At 40.2% G+C, this 25,409-nt stretch overlaps 1 protein-coding gene across 3 annotated transcripts in view, besides 2 other annotated features; it reads right to left on the bottom strand.

Annotated features, from left to right (window-relative positions):
- Window positions 1-14,236: 14,236 nt before the first annotated feature.
- Window positions 14,237-25,409, bottom strand: part of BIRC2 (baculoviral IAP repeat containing 2) — a 31,457-nt gene continuing 20,284 nt past the window's right edge. For all 3 annotated transcript variants that reach the window (NM_001166.5, NM_001256166.2, NM_001256163.1), the window contains exons 6-9: window positions 24,359-24,601; window positions 15,157-15,411; window positions 15,009-15,050; window positions 14,237-14,917 (exon numbers count right to left, since the gene is read on the bottom strand). In NM_001166.5, the coding sequence (NP_001157.1) occupies window positions 14,724-14,917; window positions 15,009-15,050; window positions 15,157-15,411; window positions 24,359-24,601 (734 nt within the window). In that variant the 3' untranslated portion in view covers window positions 14,237-14,723. The remainder of the gene's footprint in view (window positions 14,918-15,008; window positions 15,051-15,156; window positions 15,412-24,358; window positions 24,602-25,409) is intronic.
- Window positions 17,367-17,951: an enhancer, noted in NCBI's record as "H3K27ac-H3K4me1 hESC enhancer chr11:102245687-102246271 (GRCh37/hg19 assembly coordinates)". NCBI's record gives its function as "activates a minimal SCP1, AML or CMV promoter by ChIP-STARR-seq in naive and primed H9 embryonic stem cells {active_cell/tissue: H9 hESC(naive and primed)}" and the evidence as "EXISTENCE:reporter gene assay evidence [ECO:0000049][PMID:30033119]".
- Window positions 17,952-18,537: an enhancer, noted in NCBI's record as "OCT4-NANOG-H3K27ac-H3K4me1 hESC enhancer chr11:102245101-102245686 (GRCh37/hg19 assembly coordinates)". NCBI's record gives its function as "activates a minimal SCP1, AML or CMV promoter by ChIP-STARR-seq in naive and primed H9 embryonic stem cells {active_cell/tissue: H9 hESC(naive and primed)}" and the evidence as "EXISTENCE:reporter gene assay evidence [ECO:0000049][PMID:30033119]".

Genomic DNA, 25,409 nt, shown 5'->3' with positions numbered 1-25,409 from the left:
AAAAAGAAACATGAAAAGCCAAGAAAACATCAATATCAAAAGAACACAATAATTTCCCAGTAGCTAATGCCAGAGAAATGGAGAGCAACAAACTACATAACAAAGAATTCAAAGTAATCATTTTAAGGAAGCTCAGCAAACCAAGGAAATACAGAGGAACAATTCAATGAAATCAGGAAAACAAAATGAGAAATTTAATAGATTGAAATAAAAAAAGTTCCATAGCTGCAGAGTACAACAAATGAAAAATGCAATAAAGATACCAGGTTCAACATGGCTGACTAGATGCAGCTAGGATGTGCCTCTTCCACAAAGAGGAACCAAAATATTGAGTAAATCACATGAACAGATCTTTTAAGAGAGAACAGGCTGGGTGCAGTGGCTCACACCTGTAATCCCAACACTTTGGGAGGCCGAGGCAGGCGGATCACCTGAGGTCAGGAGTTCGAGACCAGCCTGACCAACATGGAGAAACCCTGTCTCTACTAAAAATACCAAACTTAGCCAGGCGTGGTGGCACATGCCTGCAATCCCAGCTACTTGGGAGGCTGAGGCAGGAGAATCACTTGAACCCGCAAGGCGGAGGTTGCGGTGAGCCGAGATCGCACCATTGCACTCCAGCCTGGGCAATAAGAGTGAAACTCCGTCTCAAAAAAAAAAAAAGAGAACACTGAAATTCAATAGAAGATGGGAGACACTGGTTAAAGAGGGAAGTAATAGGACTGCGTGCTTGGCATCACCAAGTGCCAGGACTGGCCCCAGACCAGGACCCAAGGAAAGGGTGAGTGAAGGAACTGTGGGGTACCACATTCCTGCCACAGGCCTCTGAGATCTTAGCTACAGAAGAGTTCCATGACCTCACAGACCTTTAGACTGGCAGAGGGAGCTAGGGAACTACGTGGAGACCACACACACACAGGTCACTTGAACTCATATAGAACCCCAAAGGCTTCTATGTGCTGGACAACTTAAGCAAAGCGTGACTCTGGGCACCAACCCCCAAGACTCTATGTCATGCCATAAGCTGCTGCAGCTGCTGCTGTCTGCCAGGCCAGGGAATGAGCACGGCCCAGGCACTCTCACTCTTATATGCCACAAAGACAGGCTACATCTGAGCATGCCCCATGCCTGCTCATCCCTCCCAAGACTGCCTGCCTGGCCATTCCCATGGCTTGTTGGGGAGGGAGGAGACAGGGGGAACCTGACCCCACAGTGTAGCCACCATTGCCCCATCTGAGTGTTTTGTTGGCAGCCTGGGGGCAATTTGCTCCTCCCTATCACAGCTGTTACTTGAGCCCAAGGGGCCAGTGGACAAGTCTGCTGACTTGGTACTTGTTCCCCAGGACTCAAGCACACCATCCAGGAGCATGGAGATTTATGATCTGATCTCAAGCAGGGTAGGAGCCCCCACTGTCAGAACCACAAAGAGCATGGTGTGGGTTCACGCAGTGGCAGGGAAGCATGGTGGCCCGCCCTCCATAAGACTAAAACAGAAAGGGTACGGCCTAATAACAATGGTTTCTGCCCCCAAGGAGTCACATGGCCTGTGGCTAGGCAATTTGAATGCAGTTGGCTTGGGACTAGCATAACCATTCTGTTCTGCTGCTGACAGCTAGATACTGGAGACCTACCAGCTCAGGGGTGTGGGAGCTGGGTGGGTCCCACTGCAATGTGGTACAGTGAAAACCCTGGGCTGTCCCAATTCCCCTGAATGGGCTCTGTAGCACAGGAGAGGCACCTCCCGGCCTCTCTGGAAGATTGCCCCAGTGGCCTGGAAGCTGACCCTAGACCCTTGCCAGCCACCTTGGCAGCAGAGCCGGGATGGGGACCACTGGGAACCCCATGGGCCCACTCATTGCCCAAGAATTCTGATACCTCTCCTGATTAACAAAGGCGAAGTAAAAATTTTACACCATCTCAACTACCGGGCGCCTGCAAGTGCCAGCTACTGGCTGGGAGGTCAACCTCCAGGGCCCATCACTTCTACTGACACCACTGGACAGTGCTTGGCCGCCTCTTTCCTGCAAGCTCCACCTACTGGCCCGTAGAGTGAACTGCACAACCCAATGTAATTCCTGCTGACTGAAGCACACAGCTCTGGAGAACGAGATAAGCCTCCCAACACCTCCACCTTCCCATCTCTGTAGGATAAAGTGAACCCGCTCACACACACAGTACACCATTACTACAACCTAAAAAACAACCAGCATTTGAGAAAACCACTACATTAAGGCTATTATTAATACAGAGCTTTGGCCCCCTAGAAACAAAGAGAAGCAGAATATGCACTTACCTTGCAATGCCCTACTTCAGAAATGAAGGAGAGATAAAGACTCTCAGACAAAAGCTGTGGGGGTTCATCTCCGCTAAACCTGCCTTATAAGAAATGTTAAGGGAATTCTTCCAGCTGAAAGAAAAGGATGCTAATTATTAACAGGAAAACATGAATATGAAATTCACTGGTTAAAAAGTAAGTACACAGTCAACTCCAGAATACTCTAATACCATAATGGTGGTTTGCAAATCAACTTATATCATTAGTATGAATGCTAAAAGACACAACTTTAGGCCAGGCATGGTGGCTCACGCCTGTAATCCCAGCACTCTGGGAGGCCAAGGCAGGCAGATCACCTGAGGTCAGGAGTTCGAGACCAGCCTGGTCAACATCGCGAAACCCCATCTCTACTAAAAATACAAAAACTAGCCGGGTGTGGTGGCGGGCACCCGTAATCCCAGCTACTCAGGAGGCTGAGTCAGGGAGAATCGCTTGAACCCGGGAGGCGGAGGCTGCAGTGAGCTGAGATTGCGCCACTGAACTCCAGCCTGGGCGACAGAGCGAGACTCCGTCTCAAAAAAAAAAAAAAAAAAAAAAAGGCACAACTTTAAAAAATAATAATAGCTATAATAATTTGTTAATGGATATATGATATAAAAATATAAATTGTGACATCAAAAACAAAATGGGGAGCATGGAGTAAAAGTATACAGTTTTTTTTAATGCAATGAAAATTATTAGTCTGAAATATCCTGTTATAAGATGTTTTATATAAGCCTCATGGTAACCACAAACTAAAAGCCAAGAGTAGATGCACAAAAAGTAAACAGTAAGGAATGAAAGCTTGCCACTAGAGAAAATCATCTAATCACAAAGGAAGACAGCAAGAGAGGAAGAAACAGAGGGTCTGCCAAACAACTAGAAAACAATGAACAAAATTGCAGTAGTGAGTCCTTATTTATCAATAATAATCTTGAATGTAAATGGGTTAAATTCTCTGATATGGTTTGTGTATTTGTTCCCTCCAAATGTCATGTTGAAATGTGACCTCCGTTATTGAAGGTAGAGCCTGACGGGAGGTGTCTGAGTCACAGAGGTGGATTCCTCATGGATGGCTTAGCATTATCCCCTTGGCGACAAGTGAGTTCGTGTTCTGAGTTCATGAGAGATCTGGTTATTTAAAAGAGTGTGGGACTTCCCCCCTCTCTTGCTTCCTCTCACCATGTGACATTTGACTTCACCTTCTGCCATGAGTAAAAGCTCCATGAGGCCCTCACCAGAAGCTGAGTAGATGCCAGCACCATGCTTCCTGTACAGCCTGCAGAACTGTGAGCCAATTAAATCTCTTTCCTGTATAAATTACTCAGTCTTAGGTATTCCTTCATAGCAACACAAAATAGATGCACACATTCTCACATGAAAAGACAGAGCAGCTGAATGGGTAAAGGAAAACAAGACCCAACTAAATGCTGCCTACAAGGACACACATGGTTTGAAAGAGAAGGGATGGAAAAAAGATATTCCATGAAAACAGAAACCAAGAGTGCAGAAGACACTATAGTTTTATCAAATAGAATAGACTTTAATTCAAAAACTGCAAAAAGAGACAAGGTAAGTAAATGACAAAGGGGTGAATTTGCAAGAGGATGTAACAATTGTAAATATATATGCTCCCAATGTCAGACCTCCTAAATACAGTCGTACCTCAGTATCTTGAAGGACGGGTTCCAGGCCCCTGGCAGATACCAGAAGACATACATATTCAAGTCCCATAATTGGCCCTGCAGAACTCTGCAGATACAGATTTTACATCCCACGAATACCATATTCTTTATATAGGTTTGGTTGCAGATGTGAAACCTGCTGATACAGGGGGCGAATTGTATTTACTGCAAAAATCTGTATATAAGCAGACCCACGCAGTTCGAACCCGTATCGTTCAAGGGTCAAACTGTATGTAAAGAAAGAAAAAACGCGTTCCTTTCTGATCTGAAGGAAGAAATAGCAACACAGCTGAAGAGGACGTTAATACCCCACTTTCAACAATGGACTTACCATCCAGACAGAGTATCAGTAAGGATATATTAAACTTGAACTACGTACATCAAACCAAATGGCGCTAAAAGACATATACAGAACATTCCAACTAACAGCAGCAGGATACAAATTCTTCTCAAGCACACACAGAACATACTGCAGGAGAGATCATATATTTGACCACAAAACAAGTCTTTATAAATTTAAAAGACTGAAATAACATCAAGTACCTTTCAAACCACAATGTTATATAAATAGAAACCTAAAAGGAATTCTAGAAAATTCAGAAAGATATGGAAATTAAACAGATGCACCTGAATAGCCAATGGGTCAAAGAATTAAAGGGGATATTTAAAAATGTCTTGAGACAAACAAAAGTGGAAACCCAACATACCAAAACTTACAGTATGCAGCAAAAGCAGATCCAAAAGGAAAGTTTACAGCAATAAATGCCTACGTCGAAAAAAGAAGAAAAATCTGATATAAACAACCTAACCTATCACCTCAATCAACAGAGTAATGAGACAACTTACAGAATGGGAAATAATATATGTAAACCATACATGTGATGAGGGGTTAATATTAAAAAATATATAAGTATCTGAAGCAATAGTAAGAAAACAACCCTATTAAAAATACAGGCAAAGGATCTGAATAGCCATTTTTCAAAAGAGGACATACAAACGGTCAACAGATACATGAAAATATGCAAATCACGAATCATCAGGGAAATGCAAATTAAAATCATGATATCTCACAACTGTTAAAATTGGCTATCATCAGCTGGGTGTGGCGGCTCATGCCTGTAATCCTAGCACTTTGGGAGGCCGAGGTGAGTGGATTGTCTGAGTTCAGGAGTTCAAGACCAGCCTGGGCAACATGGCAAAACCCTGTCGCTACTAAAAAAATACAAAAAAATTAGCTGGGTGTGGTGGTGCACACCTGTAATCCCAGCTACTTGGGAGGCTGAGGCACGAGAATCGCTTGAACCTGGGAGGTGGAGGTTGCAGTTGACCGACATCATGCCACTGCACACCAGCTTGGGTGACAGAGCAAGACTCTATCTCATTAAAAAAAAAAAAAAAAAAAAAAGGTTATCATCAAACAGACGAAAGATATCAAGTGTTGGTGCATACGCAGGCAAAAGGGAACCCTTGTATGCTGTTGGTGAGAATGTAAATTAGTATAGGCATTATGGGAAACTTGTGGTGGTTAAAACAACTCCATATTGGATGCTAATCCACCATGTTGACTTCTGATTAACCCCAGTTCCGGGAATGCCTCTAAGGTTTCCACTTTCACTTACTTTCTGTAAATCCTGTCCTTAGGTCAAAACAGTCTTGATGCTCTCATAAACACATACTTACCATAAATCTTGCCCTTAGGCAAATTCCTTATGATAGAAAAGCCCTGGGTCTAGGGGCTAACAGTACAGGGATCCACCATCTTACAGTCACTGGAGACATGGCTTCTATTTGTAAGTTCCTATTTTCTTTCTGAGAAACTGGATTTGTCAGCCTCTTTCTTTGGCCTCACAGCTCCTCAGCTTTACCTACTCACTATGGAACAAAACTATAGTATGGAGATTCCTCAAAAAATTAAAAATAGAACTACCATATTATCCAGCAGTCCCACTTATGGGTATTTACCTAAAAGATCTGAAATCAGCATGTTGAAGAGATATCTCTACTCCCATGTTCATGAATATATAAAGAAAATGTGGTATACATACACTATGTAAAACTATTTAGCCTTAGAAAAGAATGAAACCCTGTCATTTGTGATAACATGGATGAACCTGGAGGGCATTATGTTAAGTGAAATAAGCCAGGCACAGAAAGACAAATACTGCATGATCTCACTTATGATATGGGAATCTAAAAAAGTTGAACTCATAGAAGCAGAGACTATAATGGTGGTTACCAGAGGCTCTGGGGACTGGGAGTTCATCAAAGGATATAAAGTTTCAGTTAGACAGGAAGATTACATTCAAGAGATCTACTGAATATCATGCTGACTATAGTTAACAACAATATGATGTAGACTTGAAAACTGTTGAGAGTAGATTTTAAGTATTCTGACCACAAAAGAAAATGAGGTAATGCGTATGTTAATTTTCTTCATTTAGCCATTCCACAGGGTATACATATGTCAAAACATATTATACAATATGTAATAAAGTTTTGTCAACTTTAAAAGTTTTTTTTTTTAAAGTACATAGCACAATGAATCATCACAAAGTGAACAAACCTATCTAACTCCCGCTTAGGTCAAAGACTAGAACATTACCAGCACTCCAGAAGTGCCCCTGGTATTCCCAACCATTCTTCCCTAGTTGTTAGATAACAACTGACTTTTAACACCATAGATTAGTATTGCCTGATTTAGAACTTTATAAAGCAGAATCAAGCTTCTTTTGCATATGGGTTCATTGCATTTAATTTCATAGGAAAACTAAATTTCTGTTCTATGCAAGGAATCAATATATGGTATATACAATCTACATTTTCATTAAATGTTTATAGCCAAAACCAGTTTTCATTATATCCTCTGAAAATGCTTCAAATAAATGTTTATTTTTGATCCTTGCAAATGTTGTGTATGAGAGTGCAGAGAAACCAACAACTTCTGAAGAAATAATGCATACTAAAATGAAACATTTGATAAATACAAACATTTTATGCCTACTCTGCTATTGTGTGATCATACAGATTAGTGGGCTTGTAGTAGAGGTTAGAACCCAATTTAACAGACATCTCCGGATATAAGCAGCTGACAACCTCACAAAAAAGAGGAAGACAAGTTGGAAATCTAAGATTAAGACCTGGAAGATTTCTATTGTGAACATAAAGAACTCAGCTTCCTTCTCTTTTCCTGCAGCTATACCCATCCATCTGATACGGAAGGGGGCCAGGGAAGTGCTGGAAAGGGAAGGGCTTGGTCCCTTCAAATGATATGGAAGTGGGGAAGGGAAGTGCTGGGTAGAAGAGGGCGCAGTCCCTGGCTAGGGTTCCAACCCCACGGACCTAGGTGAGGACAGGCATTTTTGTTTTCCTCCCCAAATGTTGCATTTCCCAAGACCACCCTGGCCTGCCACAGCCCCATCCTGTGCCTATAAAAACCCTGAGACCCTAGCAGGCATGGAACAGGAATTAAAAGAAATGAAGGAATGTGTAAGCAGAAACTCAGTTGTATGTAAGAAAACCCAGTTCCCCCTGAGAAAGACAAAGAGAAAGAGCTGGAGTCCTTTAAAAATTAACTGCCTGTTTTTCTGTGGCTAGTGAGCCTTATCTCTCCTCCTTTCCCAGGCATTGTGAAGACCCTGTTTCTCTGGCTGTGCAGCTGCAAGGTCAATAGACAGATAAACTCAAGTCATAAAACATGTTTTTCCTTGAAAAGTAATAAATGATGTAATGCATGTCTCAATTAATTAAATAACTGTCTTTGTTTCTCGCTTCTGTAATATGCTTCCCCCTGAAGAGATCTCCCCCCACCCCAAGAAATGCTTAAAAGGTAACTTAACTCTTTGTTCAGGGCTCAGTCCTTTGGATGTTAATCCGACTAGGCCAATGCATCTAAATAATGAATATCCTCCTCAACCCCATCGGTCTCTCTGATTCCTTATCAATCCCGCCACAGGCAGACAAACAGGCAGCTGGATGTCGAGAGGGGGCACATGAGCAGAGGAACACACAAGCAGCTGGACGTCAAGAGGACATTGAGGGGAGCACGCCAGCACACCAGCAGGCCATCAACCAGCGGAATGAGGTGGAGAGTTTGGCTGGGGCAGTTGAAGGAGAGCCCGGACCGCCGAGCGGCCAGACTCCAGGGGAAAACCATCTCCCTTCTGGCTCCCTCATCTGCTGAGAGTTACTTCCACTCAAAAGCTTACACTCATTCTCCAAGCCCATGTGTGATTCAGTTCTTCTGGTACACCAAGGCAAGAACCCTGGGATACAGAAAGCCCTCTGTCCTTGAGATAAGGCAGGGGTCTGAGCTAACACGAGCCACCTACGGACAGCTAAACTAAAAGAGCACCCTGTAACACATGACCACTGGGGCTTCAGCTGTAAAAATTCACCCCTAGACCCTGCCATAGGGTCAGAGCCCTACAGCCTGCCCATTGGTATGCTCCCCTAGAGGTTTGAGCAGCGGGGCACTGAAGAAGCGAGTCACCCTCATCGCATGCTCTGCAAGGGGGACAAGGGAACTTTTCCTGTTTCACATCCTAACCCTCTTCCTTCTCATCTCAGGAAAAGATGGCCTTTCTGTGCAAAAATATCTAGATTTATCACCTCCCAGCTACTCAAAGACTTTTCCCCTTTCTATTAAAACATTAATCATAATCACTTTAAAAAAAATTTTTTAAGAACCAGGTAAAGTGCCACCTCTTTTACACAGAACTTTTACCACGCTTCAAACCTGTTCGTTTTCTATTTTTCTTCTATTCCTTGTTCTCTGCTGCTAGTGCTGCTGCTTCAAAAAGTTGAGAGGAAGGCATGTATCAAAAGGTCTCTCAGGACATGTTGTTCTATCCTGTTTCTCTGCTGTGGGATCAGGAATGGAATTTCCAGGAACCTCCAGTTCTCTGCACCCAAGGGTATATAAAAGGAAAAAAATCAGCTGATAAGGAACACTTCCTAACTCATTCTATGAGACCAGTATTACCCTGATACCAAATCTAGACAAACATACCACAAAAAACTAGAAACCAATATCCGTTACAAATACAGATGCAAAAATCTTCAACAAAATACTAATGGTGCTTTATGAATGTGGCTTCAAGCCTAAACAACTTGCCTTCCCAAACCCCTTTTATATGGAAATCCAATTCTGCCACTACATTGTTCTTTGTGAATAATACCTAAAATCATATAACTCCTCTGCTTAAAAACCTACAGCTCTTCTTTACCTAAAGAAAGAAGTCTAGATAGCAAAACCCATAATTTGTAGTCCTCTTAAGCGTGGTCCCCATCCTATCTTCCCAACCTTGTTTCCCATTATTCACCTTCATCGACCCTACAACTACTTTTTGCAAAAATGATTCAGGCATTTTTGTCTTTCTTCGTTTTTCCCTCTTCCTGGAAAATACTTCCCTATAACTCCATTCTCCAACTTTGCATATTTTAACCCTATTTAATCAATACCCAATTGAGATGCTATTTCATCTGAAATTCTTTTAAAAAAAGTCCCCATAGCACTTTATCTGAACCTCTCTTATGGTACTTATTTCCTACTTTGGATTAAAATATCTCCAAGCCTCAGTAAAACAAGAGTAGTATGTTTTAATTCATAGGACAACTCCCTGTTCTCTGACAATGCTTGCTCTTTTGCACCTCTGTGCCTTTACTTTGCCAAACCTATCACTAATCTCTAGACCTGATCCTGTTTTTTCACCTGTGTGTGTAAAAGATTTTCCAATATCCTGAATTGTGCTATACTACGAACTACTCTAACAACCAAAATAGCCTCAAAAATGGATACTTTAAGTAATGAATTCTGTCTGAAACAGAGGTTGTACATGTACTTGTCAGAAATACTATAAGGAGATTTTATATTATCAAATAGGACAGAGAAAATATCTTAGTGTCCATGTAGCTTTGAAGCTGAAATTATGACTTCTATATTTACAGAAAAATAATTCGGTATTTGCTTGCTGTCATGGAAAAATAAAGATATTCAAGACCTACTACTGAGTGAAAAAGCAACCTTAAGAACATTTCTATAACCATATGTATGTAGGCATGTGTGTATATACACACCCCCACACAGTGAATACATACCAAATTTAACAGTGATTACTACCAGGGAGGGGACTGAAAGTACTAGTGGGGAGAAATTAAAGGGGATTCAAACATTTTACCTTATATACTGATTGTTTGAAACTTTTACAACAAATATCTATTCTAAAGTATTTACCTGCCTTAAAACAAAACAAAACAAAAAAAAAAAAACTGATTGGAACACAATGCTATGACTCAGTCTATCCAGGTCTGATATGAAACAGGATGCTTGCTACTTGGGAATCAGACCTATGACACCGTCTTTAGCAGAGCCCACTAATGAAGAACACAGAAGTCATGTGCAGCTCTACATTAGACCCTACTACAGCCCTGTGAGGAATAAGCAGGACAGAAATTCACCCTCACAGAAAAGCTGAGGACCAGAAACAGTTGTAAAGGGCTTGCCGAAGACCTCATTAAACGGCAGAATTAGACTTAGAGGCAAAGTCTTTGGATTTGAAATTCAGGGCTCTTTACCTATTACCTTTCATTATCAGAGCTGCTAAGGCTTAAAAGCTCCAAGGACTCGATGGTTAAAGCCTATCTGGACACCATACCAGAAAGATAACAGGACCTAACACAATAATCAATTATTACCATAGTCTTTCCATTTCTACTAAGCTATCTAAATCTTCTTCCCCTGAATAATCACGCATATCCCAATGGACCAAGTAGGCAAAAGAATCTATTATGGACTTGTGGGGCTCAATAAATAACATCCCTTTTAGGCAAGTTTAGAACCAATAAAAGGAGTCATCACGTGACAATGAAAACATCATGTTTATCATTGATAAAAGATCTGAAGGATGATGCTTTCGTGTAGATTTCCTAATATGAATGCTAGAAGGAAACAAACTTTACCAGTCACTGGCCCCTGTGACGCCAACATCACAGAAGGACAGAGTATGCTCTCTTCAGACAAGCTGCCTCCCAAAGAGAAAGAAGAAAGAAGGGATTGAGCTACTGGGCATATCCATGCTTCTCTCCCAAAAGCACCAAGACGATAAGCGCAAGGGAAAAAAGAGTTCCTTCTATGTTGAAGAAAACCTAACAGATAAGACTAAGTATTCTCCCTTAATACAATGCTTCTTAGATTCATTTTTTGTTTTTTTAATCAGTCTAATGGTTTTACCACACACCAGTGGTTCTTAAATGCTGGTCCACTGACCACCATTGTGTCTGCACCAATCACTGCAAATGTCAGCACAGTGAAAATAGCAAATAGCATCTTACTTCTGTTTTGTTGTTGCCTCCCACGTTCAAACAATTCTCCTGCTTCAGCCTCCGGAGTAGCTGGGATTACAGGCGCCCGCCACCACGCCCAGCTAATTTTTGTATTTTTAGTAGAGATGGGGTTTCACCACATTGGCCAGGCTGGTCTTGAACTCCTGACCTCAAGTGATCAGCCTGCCTCGACCTCTCGAAGTGTTGGGATTACAGGCGTGAGCCACTGTGTCCCGCCAGCATCTCAGTTCTACTTTTAATTTTTTCAGAGCACCTAAAAGGGTTGAAAGAACTGCTACTATCTACTGATAGGTTTCTTTTACATATAGTAGGGGATACTCATTGAAATGTTACACCTCTAGAAAAAATTTAGGTGTGTCTTTAAAGCTGACCATTCGTTGTCCTTTGACTTATGGAATGGCAGTCAACAAGCAATGAGTCTCTTAGGTTGCTAGTGTTGAGAAGAGCAAACTATTCAGCTCTGGTACTTGAGCTCTTTTAAGAAAAGATGTGGGAAACAAAGGAGAAGCCTAACTAATAATCATACAATTCCTCCCATTTAGGTTAAGACAGGGAAGAAAGAGATCCAAACACAAGTTAAGAATGTAGTAAACTAAAGTATGGGCTGGATGTGGTGGCTCACACCTGTAATCCCAGCACTTTGGGAGGCAGAGGTGGGTGGATCACCTGAGGTCAGGGGTTTGAGACCAGTCTGGCCAACATGGTGAAACCCCGTCTCTACTAAAAATATTAGCCAGGCGTGGTGACGGGTGCCTGTAATCCCAGCTACTCAGGAGGCTGAGGCAGGAGAATCACTTGTACCCAGGAGGCGGAGGTTGCAGTGAGGTGAGATTGTATCATTGCACTCCAGCCTGGGCAACAAGAATGAGACTCCATCTCAAAAACAAACAAACAAAAACTGAAGTATGGTTTAGCAAGAGATTTAAAAAAAAAAATGTAAATGTTCTGGAGCCACTTCCACCTGGACTGTATACAATTCACACTCTACCACTTGTTATCTCTAGCAAATTACATGGTTTCACTGGGCCTCAATTTCCACATTTGTATTATAAAAAAGAGATAACATGTTTCCTACAGTTTTAAGGATTATGGAAGGCAATAAAAAACCTAACAAAGCATCTGACATTCATCTGTCTGCTCAACATAATGAGCACCTGCTAGGACACTGATTATCATCATTAAGAGGGCAAAAAAGATAAGAGACTAAAACCCTAATCTCAAATCCAGGTCCATTTGAGAAGTTTGCAAGCAGATAAAGTATAAATTACACTATGTTTAGTTATATTTTTTGCATTATTTTTACTGAATGTGAAAAACACAGACGTCTTTAAACTGACTAGCTGAATAAAGCCAAATAAGGTAACTCTTTTATAAATAGATAAAAATCATAAGTTGCTACAGTTATACTAGATGGCAGCCCATGTTAACTTTTAAAAATGTAAGTATAGCTTATTAGGACAGTTTGTTAAAAAAGCACAAGCTAAGGAGCCAGGCAGATCTGTGTTCAAATCTTACTTTGCAAAATTGCTGAAAGGATCAGAGCCGATGTGCTTTAAAGTATCTATTAACGGCAGTTTGTATTACTTGGCTAAGGCTGCCACAACAAAGTACCAATGACTGGGTGGCTTAAACAACAGAAATTTATTTTCTTACAGTTCTGGAAGCTAGAAGTCCAAGATCAAGGTGTTGGCAGGTTTGGATTCTTCTGAGGCCTCTTCCTCGGGTGTCTTCACATAGTCACTCCTCTGTGCATCTGTATCCTAATCCCCTTTTCTTAGAGAACACCAATCATGTTGATTAGCAGTCAACTATATCATCTCATTTTACCTTATTTGCCTCTTTTAACAACCCTATTTCCAAATACAGGTACATTCTGAGGTACTGGCAATTAGGACTTCAACATACAAATTTGCGGGGAACACAACTGAACCTACAGCACATCTCAATTGTTTAACGCATTTAGCACTGTATCTGGCAAATGGGATCCTTGATAGAGTAGCTATTATAAGCAAAATAAGAAAAAAGAGAATAGTTTTTAAAAAGATGTAATAGTATCCTGTGACAACAAGGGGGATTAGTTTTATGACTTAAGACATATTGGGCTGTTCTGACTAAAGGACTTCTAATTTGATTCCTTGACGGAGCTAATTATCCCTTTGGCAATCACAAGTCCAGGATGAGAGGCAGAGAAAAGTTAACGTTTTAACATTGTTCTGAGTCTACTGAATTTGAGGGGGAGGAAAGAATTCCCTCTTTATATTCCCTCCATAATGGCCGGAGAGAGTTTCTCTCATGAGGTCTTGAACCTAGGTATATGCATTTGGACTTACATACATGTATCAGCATATCAGGATGGAAACAAAGGCAAGAGAAGAGACTGGGGTACACAGAAATTCTTACTCACTCTTCCCATGTGTTCTCTAAAGGAATCCAAAAGAGTTGTGAGGTGAGAAGAAAAATGGAGAGTTTTTACTATTAGACTTCCTTATCTACCTGGCTTCAGAAGTCTGCCACAGAGTGAGATCTAAGAAAGGTCAAATATGACTGGACCCAGAAAGGAGGTACTAACCATTCATTGCCTGTATGCCTCCTCACCCCATCAACACCTATGCAACAAAGCAATTACACTACTGTCTGAAAATAATGCCTATTTATCTAATTTAAGAGTTTTCTGAAATTAATGTTGGATTCATTTTTCATCCAACATTGTATCTATAACATACAAAGCAACAAGACACTGTCATCTAAAGAAATTTCACAGATAACATTATTTTAACAACACTTAATAATTTCTCATGAATGCAATTTTTTACTTAATAGCTGGCATTTGAGTACAAGGAAGACACATGAAAATTACTTTTTAAATCAGGAAAGAAAAAATATTCTGGTAACACAATCTTTTTAAAGCACTTTATTGAGATGTTTCTCACAAACTAGGGGGAGAAATAAGAGAAAAATCCTTATTTTAAAACACAAGTGAAAAGCACCAAAGACAATTCGGCACCATAACTCTGATGAACTCCAGAGTTCCTGGTTTCCAGTTCTTTTCTACACTATAATTTAGTATTCAAAGCTTTCTGAAAGAACAACAAATCCAGTAACTCCTGAAATGATGCATAACAAGCAGTGACACTACTCCCTTAGGTACACATACATACTAATATAGTTCACCAAACATAAATCTTCCCTTGTAAATAAACAGATTAAGATTAAATATATGATACCATCTTTTCAGAAACAAGATTATTAGTACCAAAGCAGACTAGAACATGAATGTTACTAATTGAAAAACTCATAATTCCCTTTTTACTTTAGATGGCTTCAAGTGTTCAACAATATTTTAAAGACCTTTTTATGCAGGTTAAAATATAGACTATTTTTCTTTAAGAGAGAAATGTACGAACAGTACCCTTGATTATACCCCTGCAAATAGGGCATTTTCTTAGAGAAGGGGCACATTCCTGGCATACTACCAGATGACCACAAGGAATAAATACAACAGAAACTTCTTTGTCCATACACACTTTACAAGTTCGTTCTTCTTGCAACCTCCTCAATTGTTCTTCCAGTGACAGACCTAATAACAAAAAATAACTTTAGTGAAATTGTTTCCACTTCATTAAAAAAAAAGGGTAATAGTTCATGTTGGTTTTAAATCTTTGTTTTACCTGAAACATCTTCTGTTGGAATATACTTCATATTCTTATCCACTGAGGAAAGAAAACATAAAAACCATTACTCTACTAAATACAAAACTGAGCCACCGCATCTGGCCAGTCCTAAGAATTTCTAAAATAATTTTCCCAACAAACTCACCAAATAAGTTCTTATACAATGTAGAGTCAATTTCTTTTAGACAGTTTTTGAAGATGTTGGCCGCAGCATTTCCTTTAACCAAAATGGTATCAATCAGTTCTCTCGCTTGTAAAGGTATCTGTGTTTTTTGTTTAATAATATCATGTTCCTGTTTATTAATTACATTGGCCTTTAAAAGATTATCCAGGATAGGAAGCACACATGTCAATTGTTGAAAGAGAGCCATTCTGTTCTTCCGAATTAATGACAAATCATCTTCATTAAAAAAAGAAAAAGAAATCCATTAGATTTTAAACTCCTTTAACTATACTCATATAGTCACTAATAACCAACCCTACAAACAATTTAGGCACTAAATAAAGTTCAAAAAAGAACAAAGTAACTTGTTTGCATTTGTAAGTTTGTTGTTTGGAAAACTTCCAGAGGAAGTCTCTGTTTAATTTTTAAGTCTATATATTTACATGTCCTAGAACTCCGCTTTTACTTTATTTTGTTGCAAGAGATTTGTAGAAGACAGTAAAAATTTCCCCCCACCATATATAATAATACTCTTGTATTTCCATTATATCATTTTACTTTTGTAAGCACTTTCATAGTAATTTGTCTCATTTGATACAGTGATCCTGTCAATTAAACAAGGCGAGTATTACTGCCTCTCATTTTTACATAGGGAGAAAAAAGACTCAGAAAAGAATGAGTGGCCTAAGATCACAAGAAAGAATAAGCTGCAGAACCAGGCATCCTAGACCAGTGTTCTTTTCAACACCCCATACTTAAGACGTGGTATTGTAGTATTGTAGGGTTTGAGTTGCCAAGTCAAAACAGACCTAGGTTCCAGTGTTGGCTAGGCCCACTCACTAGCTATGTGTCCTCATCCTTCCCCATACACCTCAGTTTCCTCATCTGTAAAATATACATAACGGTACCTTCCTCAAAGTTGTAAGGATTGAATAATACATGTAAAGCATCTGGCACAATATGTGGTACATAGTTAACTACCATTATTATTTTATAAATGTCTATGTTTATAGCAATTAAAAAAAACTACCTAAGAATCAAGCCTGACCTTTTTTTAAAAAGCCAATGTTTTTCCTTTAATATCGCATCACATAAAACTCCACAGTTAATTTATATTTATGGAATATGGTAGTTCCTTCTTTTGGTATCTGAATCATTATAAAATTTGTCTATTTTCAGACTTTCAAAAAAATTTAAAAAGTACATCTCTACAAAGTACCAGTTTAATGAGAAATAAATTATAAAAACAGAAGCCTATCTTCTTTCCCCTTTTACATCTCTCTAGAAGTGAACTGCTCTATTAATCTCAAAACTATAAAATTCCATTCTGTGACAACTTTTTCTTCTACCTAAATAATTCCTCTCACTGCTAACCAATTTGTTCTTCACCTTTTCAAGATCTCCATGTCATTCCCAATTCTACTTGCACAAGAGCTATCTCCTGGCTTTGCTTCAAACCTCCTATTCTAATCTAGGTAGCAGTCAGGTATTTCAATGAAGTTCTCTATATTAGCACCCTTAACTCATCTTCCGTATTCCTTACTTGCCCTTTCCCCTATTAACACTGCCAAATCTGTAATTCAATACTATTTTCCAACCCATACAAAGTATGAGAAAGTCATAAATCTAAGGTGACAGTGATTTCATATAACCTTAGCTGGATTTCATTACTACTTAACAATCCTTAAATTGACTTTTCTTAGGCCCTTTCTTTCACCAAGTCCCTCCCACTTCCCAAGTCAATCTACCTAATGCTTAAAAAAAAAAAAAAATTGACGTGCTAGGAGCTGTGTTAAAGTGTTTTATTTGCAATATCTCATTTAATTCCTACAGCAACCCTATGGGAGTCATACTATTATTATCCCCATTTTACAGATGAGAAAGCCGATGTCTGGTTGAATAAATAGCCAAGCTAGTAACTGATAGAACTGGAATTTTTTTTTTTTTTTTTTTGAGATGGAGTCTGGCTCTGTCACCCAGGCTGGAGTGCAGGGGCACGATCTCGGCTCACTGCAAGCTCTGCCTCCCGGGTTCACGCCATTCTCCTGCCTCAGCCTCCCGAATAGCTGGGACTACAGGCATCCGCCACCATGCCCGGCTAATTTTTTGTATTTTTAGTCAAGACGGGGTTTCATCGTGTTAGCCAGGATGGTCTCAATTTCCTGACCTTGTGATCCGCCCGTCTTGGCCTCCCAAAGTGCTGGGATTACAGGCATGAGCCACCGCGCCCAGCCTGGAGCTAGAATTTAAACACAAATCTGTTTCAATGTAGAAGTCCAGACTTTAAATATTTTGCTACACGGTCATGCAATAAGGTACTCTTAAGTTATTCCTGTCTTTACTTACAAGCTTAAAAAGAAAGCATCTTCCAACGCAATACTCCAATACATATGCAACCTTCGCCTCTCTGCTGGCCCTTTAACCCTGTCTTTTGCACACTAGTCTCGCCAGCTAGTGTATATACTCCTTGACAGCAACCACTGTGATTAGGCACAGTATTTGGCACTGGTGCTCATGCTCAACAAATATTTATTGAAGGAGGGGAGGAGCCAAGATGGCCGAATAGGAACAGCTCCGGTGTACAGCTCCCAGCGTGAGCGACGCACAAGACGGGTGATTTCTGCATTTCCATCTGAGGTACCGGGTTCATCTCACTAGGGAGTGCCAGACAGTGGGCGCAGGCCAGTGGGTGCGCGCACCGTGTGCAAACCGAAGCAGGGCAAGGCATTGCCACACTTGGGAAGCCCAAGGGGTCAAGGAGTTCCCTTTCCGAGTCAAAGAAAGGGGTAACGGACGCACCTGGAAAATCGGGTCACTCCCACCCGAATATTGCGCTTTTCAGACTGGCTTAAAAAACGGCGAACCAAGAGATTATATCCCACACCTGGCTCGGAGGGTCCTACGCCCACGGAGTCTCGCTGATTGCTAGCACAGCAGTCTGAGATCAAACTGCAAGGCAGCAGCGAGGCTGGGGGAGGGGCGCCCGCCATTGCCCAGGCTTGATTAGGTAAACAAAGCAGCCAGGAACTCGAACTGGGTGGAGCCCACCACAGCTCAAGGAGGCCTGCCTGCCTCTGTAGGCTCCACCTCTGGGGGCAGGGCACAGACAAACAAAAAGACAGCAGTAACCTCTGCAGACTTAAGTGTCCCTGTCTGACAGCTTTGAAGAGAGCAGTGGTTCTCCCAGCACGCAGCTGGAGATCTGAGAACCGGCAGACTGCCTCCTCAAGTGGGTCCCTGACCCCTGACCCCCGAGCAGCCTAACTGGGAGGCACCCCCCAGCAGGGGCACACTGACACCTCACACGGCAGGGTATTCCAACAGACCTGCAGCTGAGGGTCCTGTCTGTTAGAAGGAAAACTAACAAACAGAAAGGACATCCACACCGAAAACCCATCTGTACATCACCATCATCAAAGACCAAAAATAGATAAAACCACAAAGATGGGGGAAAAACAGAACAGAAAAGCTGGAAACTCTAAAACGCAGAGCGCCTCTCCTCTTCCAAAGGAACGCAGTTCCTCACCAGCAACGGAACAAAGCTGGATGGAGAATGACTTTGATGAGCTGAGAGAAGAAGGCTTCAGACGATCAAATTACTCTGAGCTACAGGAGGACATTCAAACCAAAGGCAAAGAAGTTGAAAACTTTGAAAAAAATTTAGAAGAATGTATAACTAGAATAACCAATACAGAGAAGTGCTTAAAGGAGCTGATGGAGCTGAAAACCAAGGCTCGAGAACTACGTGAAGAATGCAGAAGCCTCAGGAGCCGATGCGATCAACTGGAAGAAAGGGTATCAGCAATGGAAGATGAAATGAATGAAATGAAGCGAGAAGGGAAGTTTAGAGAAAAAAGAATAAAAAGAAATGAGCAAAGCCTCCAAGAAATATGGGATTATGTGAAAAGACCAAATCTACGTCTGATTGGTGTACCTGAAAGTGATGGGGAGATTGGAACCAAGTTGGAAAACACTCTGCAGGATATTATCCAGGAGAACTTCCCCAATCTAGCAAGGCAGGCCAACGTTCAGATTCAGGAAATATAGAGAACGCCACAAAGATACTCCTCGAGAAGAGCAACTCCAAGACACATAATTGTCAGATTCACCAAAGTTGAAATGAAGGAAAAAATGTTAAGGGCAGCCAGAGAGAAAGGTCGGGTTACCCTCAAAGGGAAGCCCATCAGACTAACAACGGATCTCTCGGCAGAAACCCTACAAGCCAGAAGAGAGTGGGGGCCAATATTCAACATTCTTAAAGAAAAGAATTTTCAACCCAGAATTTCATATCCAGCCAAACTAAGCTTCATAAGTGAAGGAGAAATAAAATACTTCACAGACAAGCAAATGGTGAGAGATTTTGTCACCACCAGGCCTGCCCTAAAAGAGCTCCGGAAGGAAGCACTAAACATGGAAAGGAACAACCGGTACCAGCAGCTGCAAAATCATGCCAAAATGTAAAGACCATTGAGACTAGGAAGAAACTGCATCAACTAACGAGCAAAATCACCAGCTAACATCATAATGACAGGATCAAATTCACACATGACAATATTAACTTTAAATGTAAATGGACTAAATGCTCCAATTAAAAGACACAGACTGGCAAATTGGATAAAGAGTCAAGACCCATCAGTGTGCTGTATTCAGGAAACCCATCTCACGTGCAGAGACACACATAGGCTCAAAATAAAAGGATGGAGGAAGATCTACCAAGCAAATGGAAAACAAAAAGAGGCAGGGGTTGCAATCCTAGTCTCTGATAAAACGGACTTTAAACCAACAAAGATCAAAAGAGACAAAGAAGGCCATTACATAATGGTAAAGGGATCAATTCAACAAGAAGAGCTAACTATCCTAAATATATATGCACCCAATACAGGAGCACCCAGATTCATAAAGCAAGTCCTGAGTGACCTACAAAGAGACTTAGACTCCCACACATTAATAATGGGAGACTTTAACACCCCACTGTCAACATTAGACAGATCAACGAGACAGAAAGTCAACAAGGATACCCAGGAATTGAACTCAGCTCTGCACCAAGTGGACCTAATAGACATCTACAGAACTCTCCACCCCAAATCAACAGAATATACATTTTTTTCAGCACCACACCACACCTATTCCAAAATTGACCACATAGTTGGAAGTAAAGCTCTCCTCAGCAAATGTAAAAGAACAGAAATTATAACAAACTATCTCTCAGACCACAGTGCAATCAAACTAGAACTCAGGATTAAGAAACACTCAAAATCACTCAACTACATGGACACTGAACAACCTGCTCCTGAATGACTACTGGGTACATAACGAAATGAAGGCAGAAATAAAGATGTTCTTTGAAACCAATGAGAACAAACACACAACATACCAGAATCTCTGGGACACATTCAAAGCAGTGTGTAGAGGGAAATTTATAGCATTAAATGCCCTCAAGAGAAAGCAGGAAAGATCTAAAATTGACACCCTAATATCACAATTAAAAGAACTAGAGAAGCAAGAGCAAACACATTCAAAAGCTAGCAGAAGGCAGGAAATAACTAAGATCAGAGCAGAACTGAAGGAAATAGAGACACAAAAAAACCCTTCAAAAAATCAATGAATCCGGGAGCTGGTTTTTTGAAAAGATCAACAAAATAGATAGACCGCTAGCAAGACTAATAAAGAAGAAAAGAGAGAAGAATCAAATAGACGCAATAAAAAATGATAAAGGGGATATCACCACTGATCCCACAGAAATACAAACTACCATCAGAGAATACTACAAACACCTCTACACAAATAAACTAGAAAATCTAGAAGAAATGGATAAATTCCTCAACACATACACTCTCCCAAGACTAAACCAGGAAGAAGCTGAATCTCTGAATAGACCAATAACAGGATCTGAAATTGTGGCAATAATCAATAGCTTACCAACCAAAAAGAGTCCAGGACCAGATGGATTCACAGCGGAATTCTACCAGAGGTACAAGGAGGAACTGGTACCATTCCTTCTGAAACTATTCCAATCAATAGAAAAAGAGGGAATCCTCCCTAACTCATTTTATGAGGCCAGCATCATTCTGATACCAAAGCCGGGCAGAGACACAACAAAAAAAGAGAATTTTAGACCAATATCCTTGATGAACATTGATGCAAAAATCCTCAATAAAATACTGGCAAAACGAATCCAGCAGCATATCAAAAAGCTTATCCACCATGATCAAGTGGGCTTCATCCCTGGGATGCAAGGCTGGTTCAATATACGCAAATCAATAAATGTAATCCAGCATATAAACAGAGCCAAAGACAAAAACCACATGATTATCTCAATAGATGCAGAAAAAGCCTTTGACAAAATTCAACAACCCTTCATGCTAAAAACTCTCAATAAATTAGGTATTGATGGGACCTATTTCAAAATAATAAGAGCTATCTATGACAAACCCACAGCCAATATCATACTGAATGGGCAAAAACTGGAAGCATTCCCTTTGAAAACGGGCACAAGACAGGGATGCCCTCTCTCACCACTCCTATTCAACATAGTGTTGGAAGTTCTGGCCAGGGCAATTAGGCAGGAGAAGGAAATAAAGGGTATTCAATTAGGAAAAGAGGAAGTCAAATTGTCCCTGTTTGCAGACGACATGATTGTATATCTAGAAAACCCCATTGTCTCAGCCCAAAATCTCCTTAAGCTGATAAGCAACTTCAGCAAAGTCTCAGGATACAAAATCAATGTACAAAAATCACAAGCATTCTTATACACCAACAACAGACAAACAGAGAGCCAAATCATGAGTGAACTCCCATTCACAATTGCTTCAAAGAGAATAAAATACCTAGGAATCCAACTTACAAGGGATGTGAAGGACCTCTTCAAGGAGAACTACAAACCACTGCTCAAGGAAATAAAAGAGGATACAAACAAATGGAAGAATATTCCATGCTCATGGGTAGGAAGAATCAATATCGTGAAAATGGCCATACTGCCCAAGGTAATTTACAGATTCAATGTCATCCCCATCAAGCTACCAATGACTTTCTTCACAGAATTGGAAAAAACTACTTTAAAGTTCATATGGAACCAAAAAAGAGCCCGCATTGCCAAGTCAATCCTAAGCCAAAAGAACAAAGCTGGAGGCATCACACTACCTGACTTCAAACTATACTACAAGGCTACAGTAACCAAAACAGCATGGTACTGGTACAAAAACAGAGATATAGATCAATGGAACAGAACAGAGCCCTCAGAAATAACACCGCGTATCTATAACTATCTGATCTTTGACAAACCTGAGAAAAACAAGCAATGGGGAAAGGATTCCCTATTTAATAAATGGTGCTGGGAAAACTGGCTAGCCATATGTAGAAAGCTGAAACTGGATCCCTTCCTTACACCTTATACAAAAATCAATTCAAGATGGATTAAAGATTTAAATGTTAGACCTAAAACCATAAAAACCCTAGAAGAAAACCTAGGCATTACCATTCAGGACATAGGCATGGGCAAGGACTTCATGTCCAAAACACCAAAAGCAATGGCAACAAAAGCCAAAATTGACAAATGGGATCTAATTCAACTAAAGAGCTTCTGCACAGCAAAAGAAACTACCATCAGAGTGAACAGGCAACCTACAAAATGGGAGAAAATTTTCGCAACCTACTCATCTGACAAAGGGCTAATAACCAGAATCTACAATGAACTCAAACAAATTTACAAGACAAAAACAAACAACCCCATCAAAAAGTGGGCAAAGGACATGAACAGGCACTTCTCAAAAGAAGACATTTATGCAGCCAAAAAACACATGAAAAAATGCTCATCATCACTGGCCATCAGAGAAATGCAAATCAAAACCACAATGAGATACCATCTCACACCAGTTAGAATGGCAATCATTAAAAAGTCAGGAAACAACAGGTGCTGGAGAGGATGTGGAGAAATAGGAACACTTTTACACTGTTGGTGGGACTGTAAACTAGTTCAAGCATTGTGGAAGTCAGTGTGGCGATTCCTCAGGGATCTAGAACTAGAAATACCATTTGACCCAGCCATCCCATTACTGGGTATATACCCAAATGACTATAAATCATGCTGCTATAAAGACACATGCACACGTATGTTTATTGCGGCATTATTCACAATAGCAAAGACTTGGAACCAACCCAAATGTCCAACAATGATAGACCGGATTAAGAAAATGTGGCACATATACACCATGGAATACTATGCAGCCATAAAAAATGATGAGTTCGTGTCCTTTGTAGGGACATGGATGAAATTGGAAATCATCATTCTCAGTAAACTATCGCAAGAACGAAAAACCAAACACCGCATATTCTCACTCATAGGTGGGAACTGAACAATGAGATCACATGGACACAGGAAGGGGAATATCACACTCTGGGGACTGTGGTGGGGTGGGGGGAGGGGGGAGGGATAGCATTGGGAGATATACCTAATGCTAGATGATGAGTTAGTGGGTGCAGCGCACCAGCATGGCACATGTATACATATGTAACTAACCTGCACAATGTGCACATGTACCCTAAAACTTAAAGTATAATTAAAAAAAAATAGAAAAAAGAAAAAAAAAAATTTATTGAAGGAATAAATGATTACTCAAAATACTTGTTTTGAGAGGCCGAGACTTAATACTATCTGGACGAATACAAAAATCAGTTTTCCTGTTATCCTTGGATTGGGCAGGTGGTTCTCATCAAGCCCCAGAATTTCATTGTAAGTTCTATTTTGTGTATGAGGATCACTTAGCAAGGATTAGGGAGTAAAGTATCCTATTAAAAATATGATTTGCAGAAACTTAAAAAAAAAAACAGGTTGAAAAAAGACCTGCATCCAACTTTAACATCTTGCTTTTTCAAAACAATTTAAATTTGTTATGTATGAGAAAGAAATGGAATACAGCTCAAGAAAGAGCTTATTATGCTAAAATTCTCTGATTGGCATAAATCAGAGAACCTCATCCGAAAATAAATGTATAGAAAAAAGCGGCAGTCAATGGTTCTCAACTAGAAGCAATTGAAAGGGGTAGAAAAGGAGGGATGGTTTCGAAATGACTGGAGGACTGCTACCAGCAGTTAGTGGATGTGAAACAAGCATGGTGTCCTGTAACATGTGAGACAGTCCTAAGAGCTCCACTGAGAAACAATGCAGGTGACTAACATCCCCAAATACCTGATGCCATTTCTTCAGCTTGTTTTTCCTTCTCCTCTTCTCTTTTTTCATCTTCAGCATTAAGAAGTGCTGACACAATATCATTAACTGTTTTATAGTTCTCTCCAGTTGTCAGGATTTTACTTTGAACTGTTTGTTTCACCAGGTCTCTATTAAAGCCCATTTCCAAGGCAGATTTAACCACAGGTGTATTCATCATGACAGCATCTTCTGAAGAACTTTCTCCAGGTCCAAAATGAATAACTATTTGAAAAGAAACATGCTAATATTAAATTCCACAAACATAAACCTATGGAAAAAAGTATCATGGCACAATCTTTATTCATCCTTTACTCTCATATTCTGGTAAAGGAGATGAGCTATATGCATCGATTACCTATAACTCCAATAAAAGTTTGAACTTCATAATGGTCAAATGAGAATACAATTAATATGCTATACTTTTTACAAAACCCACCTCTCTGGCTACATCCTAGACTTACTTAATGAAAGATTCTCTAAGGATAAGAATTAGGAATCTGTATCTTTTGAATATTTCCCAAATGATTCTGATGTATAGTCATTTCTGGAAACCAATATGCTATACGAACTTAGAAGTGAGAAATAATCTTCTCCAGCCAGGAAAGTGGGGGGAAATCACAAAGACTTCATGGAAAAGTGGCGCATTAGAGTTTGGACTTGAAGGATGGACAGGGTCTAGACAAGTGGATTGCTGAGGTAGAGAGAATAACATAAACAAAAATGGGAAGTATAGTAAAATAGAAGATCAGTTCACCCAGAAGATGTAGTGAAAAAGTATGGCTTCAGAAGTAATTAAGGCAGTATGATTTTAGACAGTGACAGATGCTCTGAAGAAAAAAGTAGTGTAAGGTCATTAAAAGAAACCAGGAAGCAGGAAGTCATTTTAGATAGGGTAGTCAGGGAAGCATTTTCTGCTAAGAGTCAATGCTAGCCCATATGATACTTTTATGAAAAAATACAAAAAGACATAATTCTTCAAGACACTACTGCCATCTTCTGGAAACTTATAATAAATATACAACGTCAACAA

The sequence above is a fragment of the Homo sapiens genome, chromosome 11, assembly GCF_000001405.40.
Source record: "Homo sapiens chromosome 11, GRCh38.p14 Primary Assembly".
Lineage (NCBI taxonomy): Eukaryota > Metazoa > Chordata > Mammalia > Primates > Hominidae > Homo > Homo sapiens.
The sequence above is the reverse complement of the archived record's forward strand: the minus strand, read 5'-3'. Positions and strand labels throughout refer to the sequence as shown.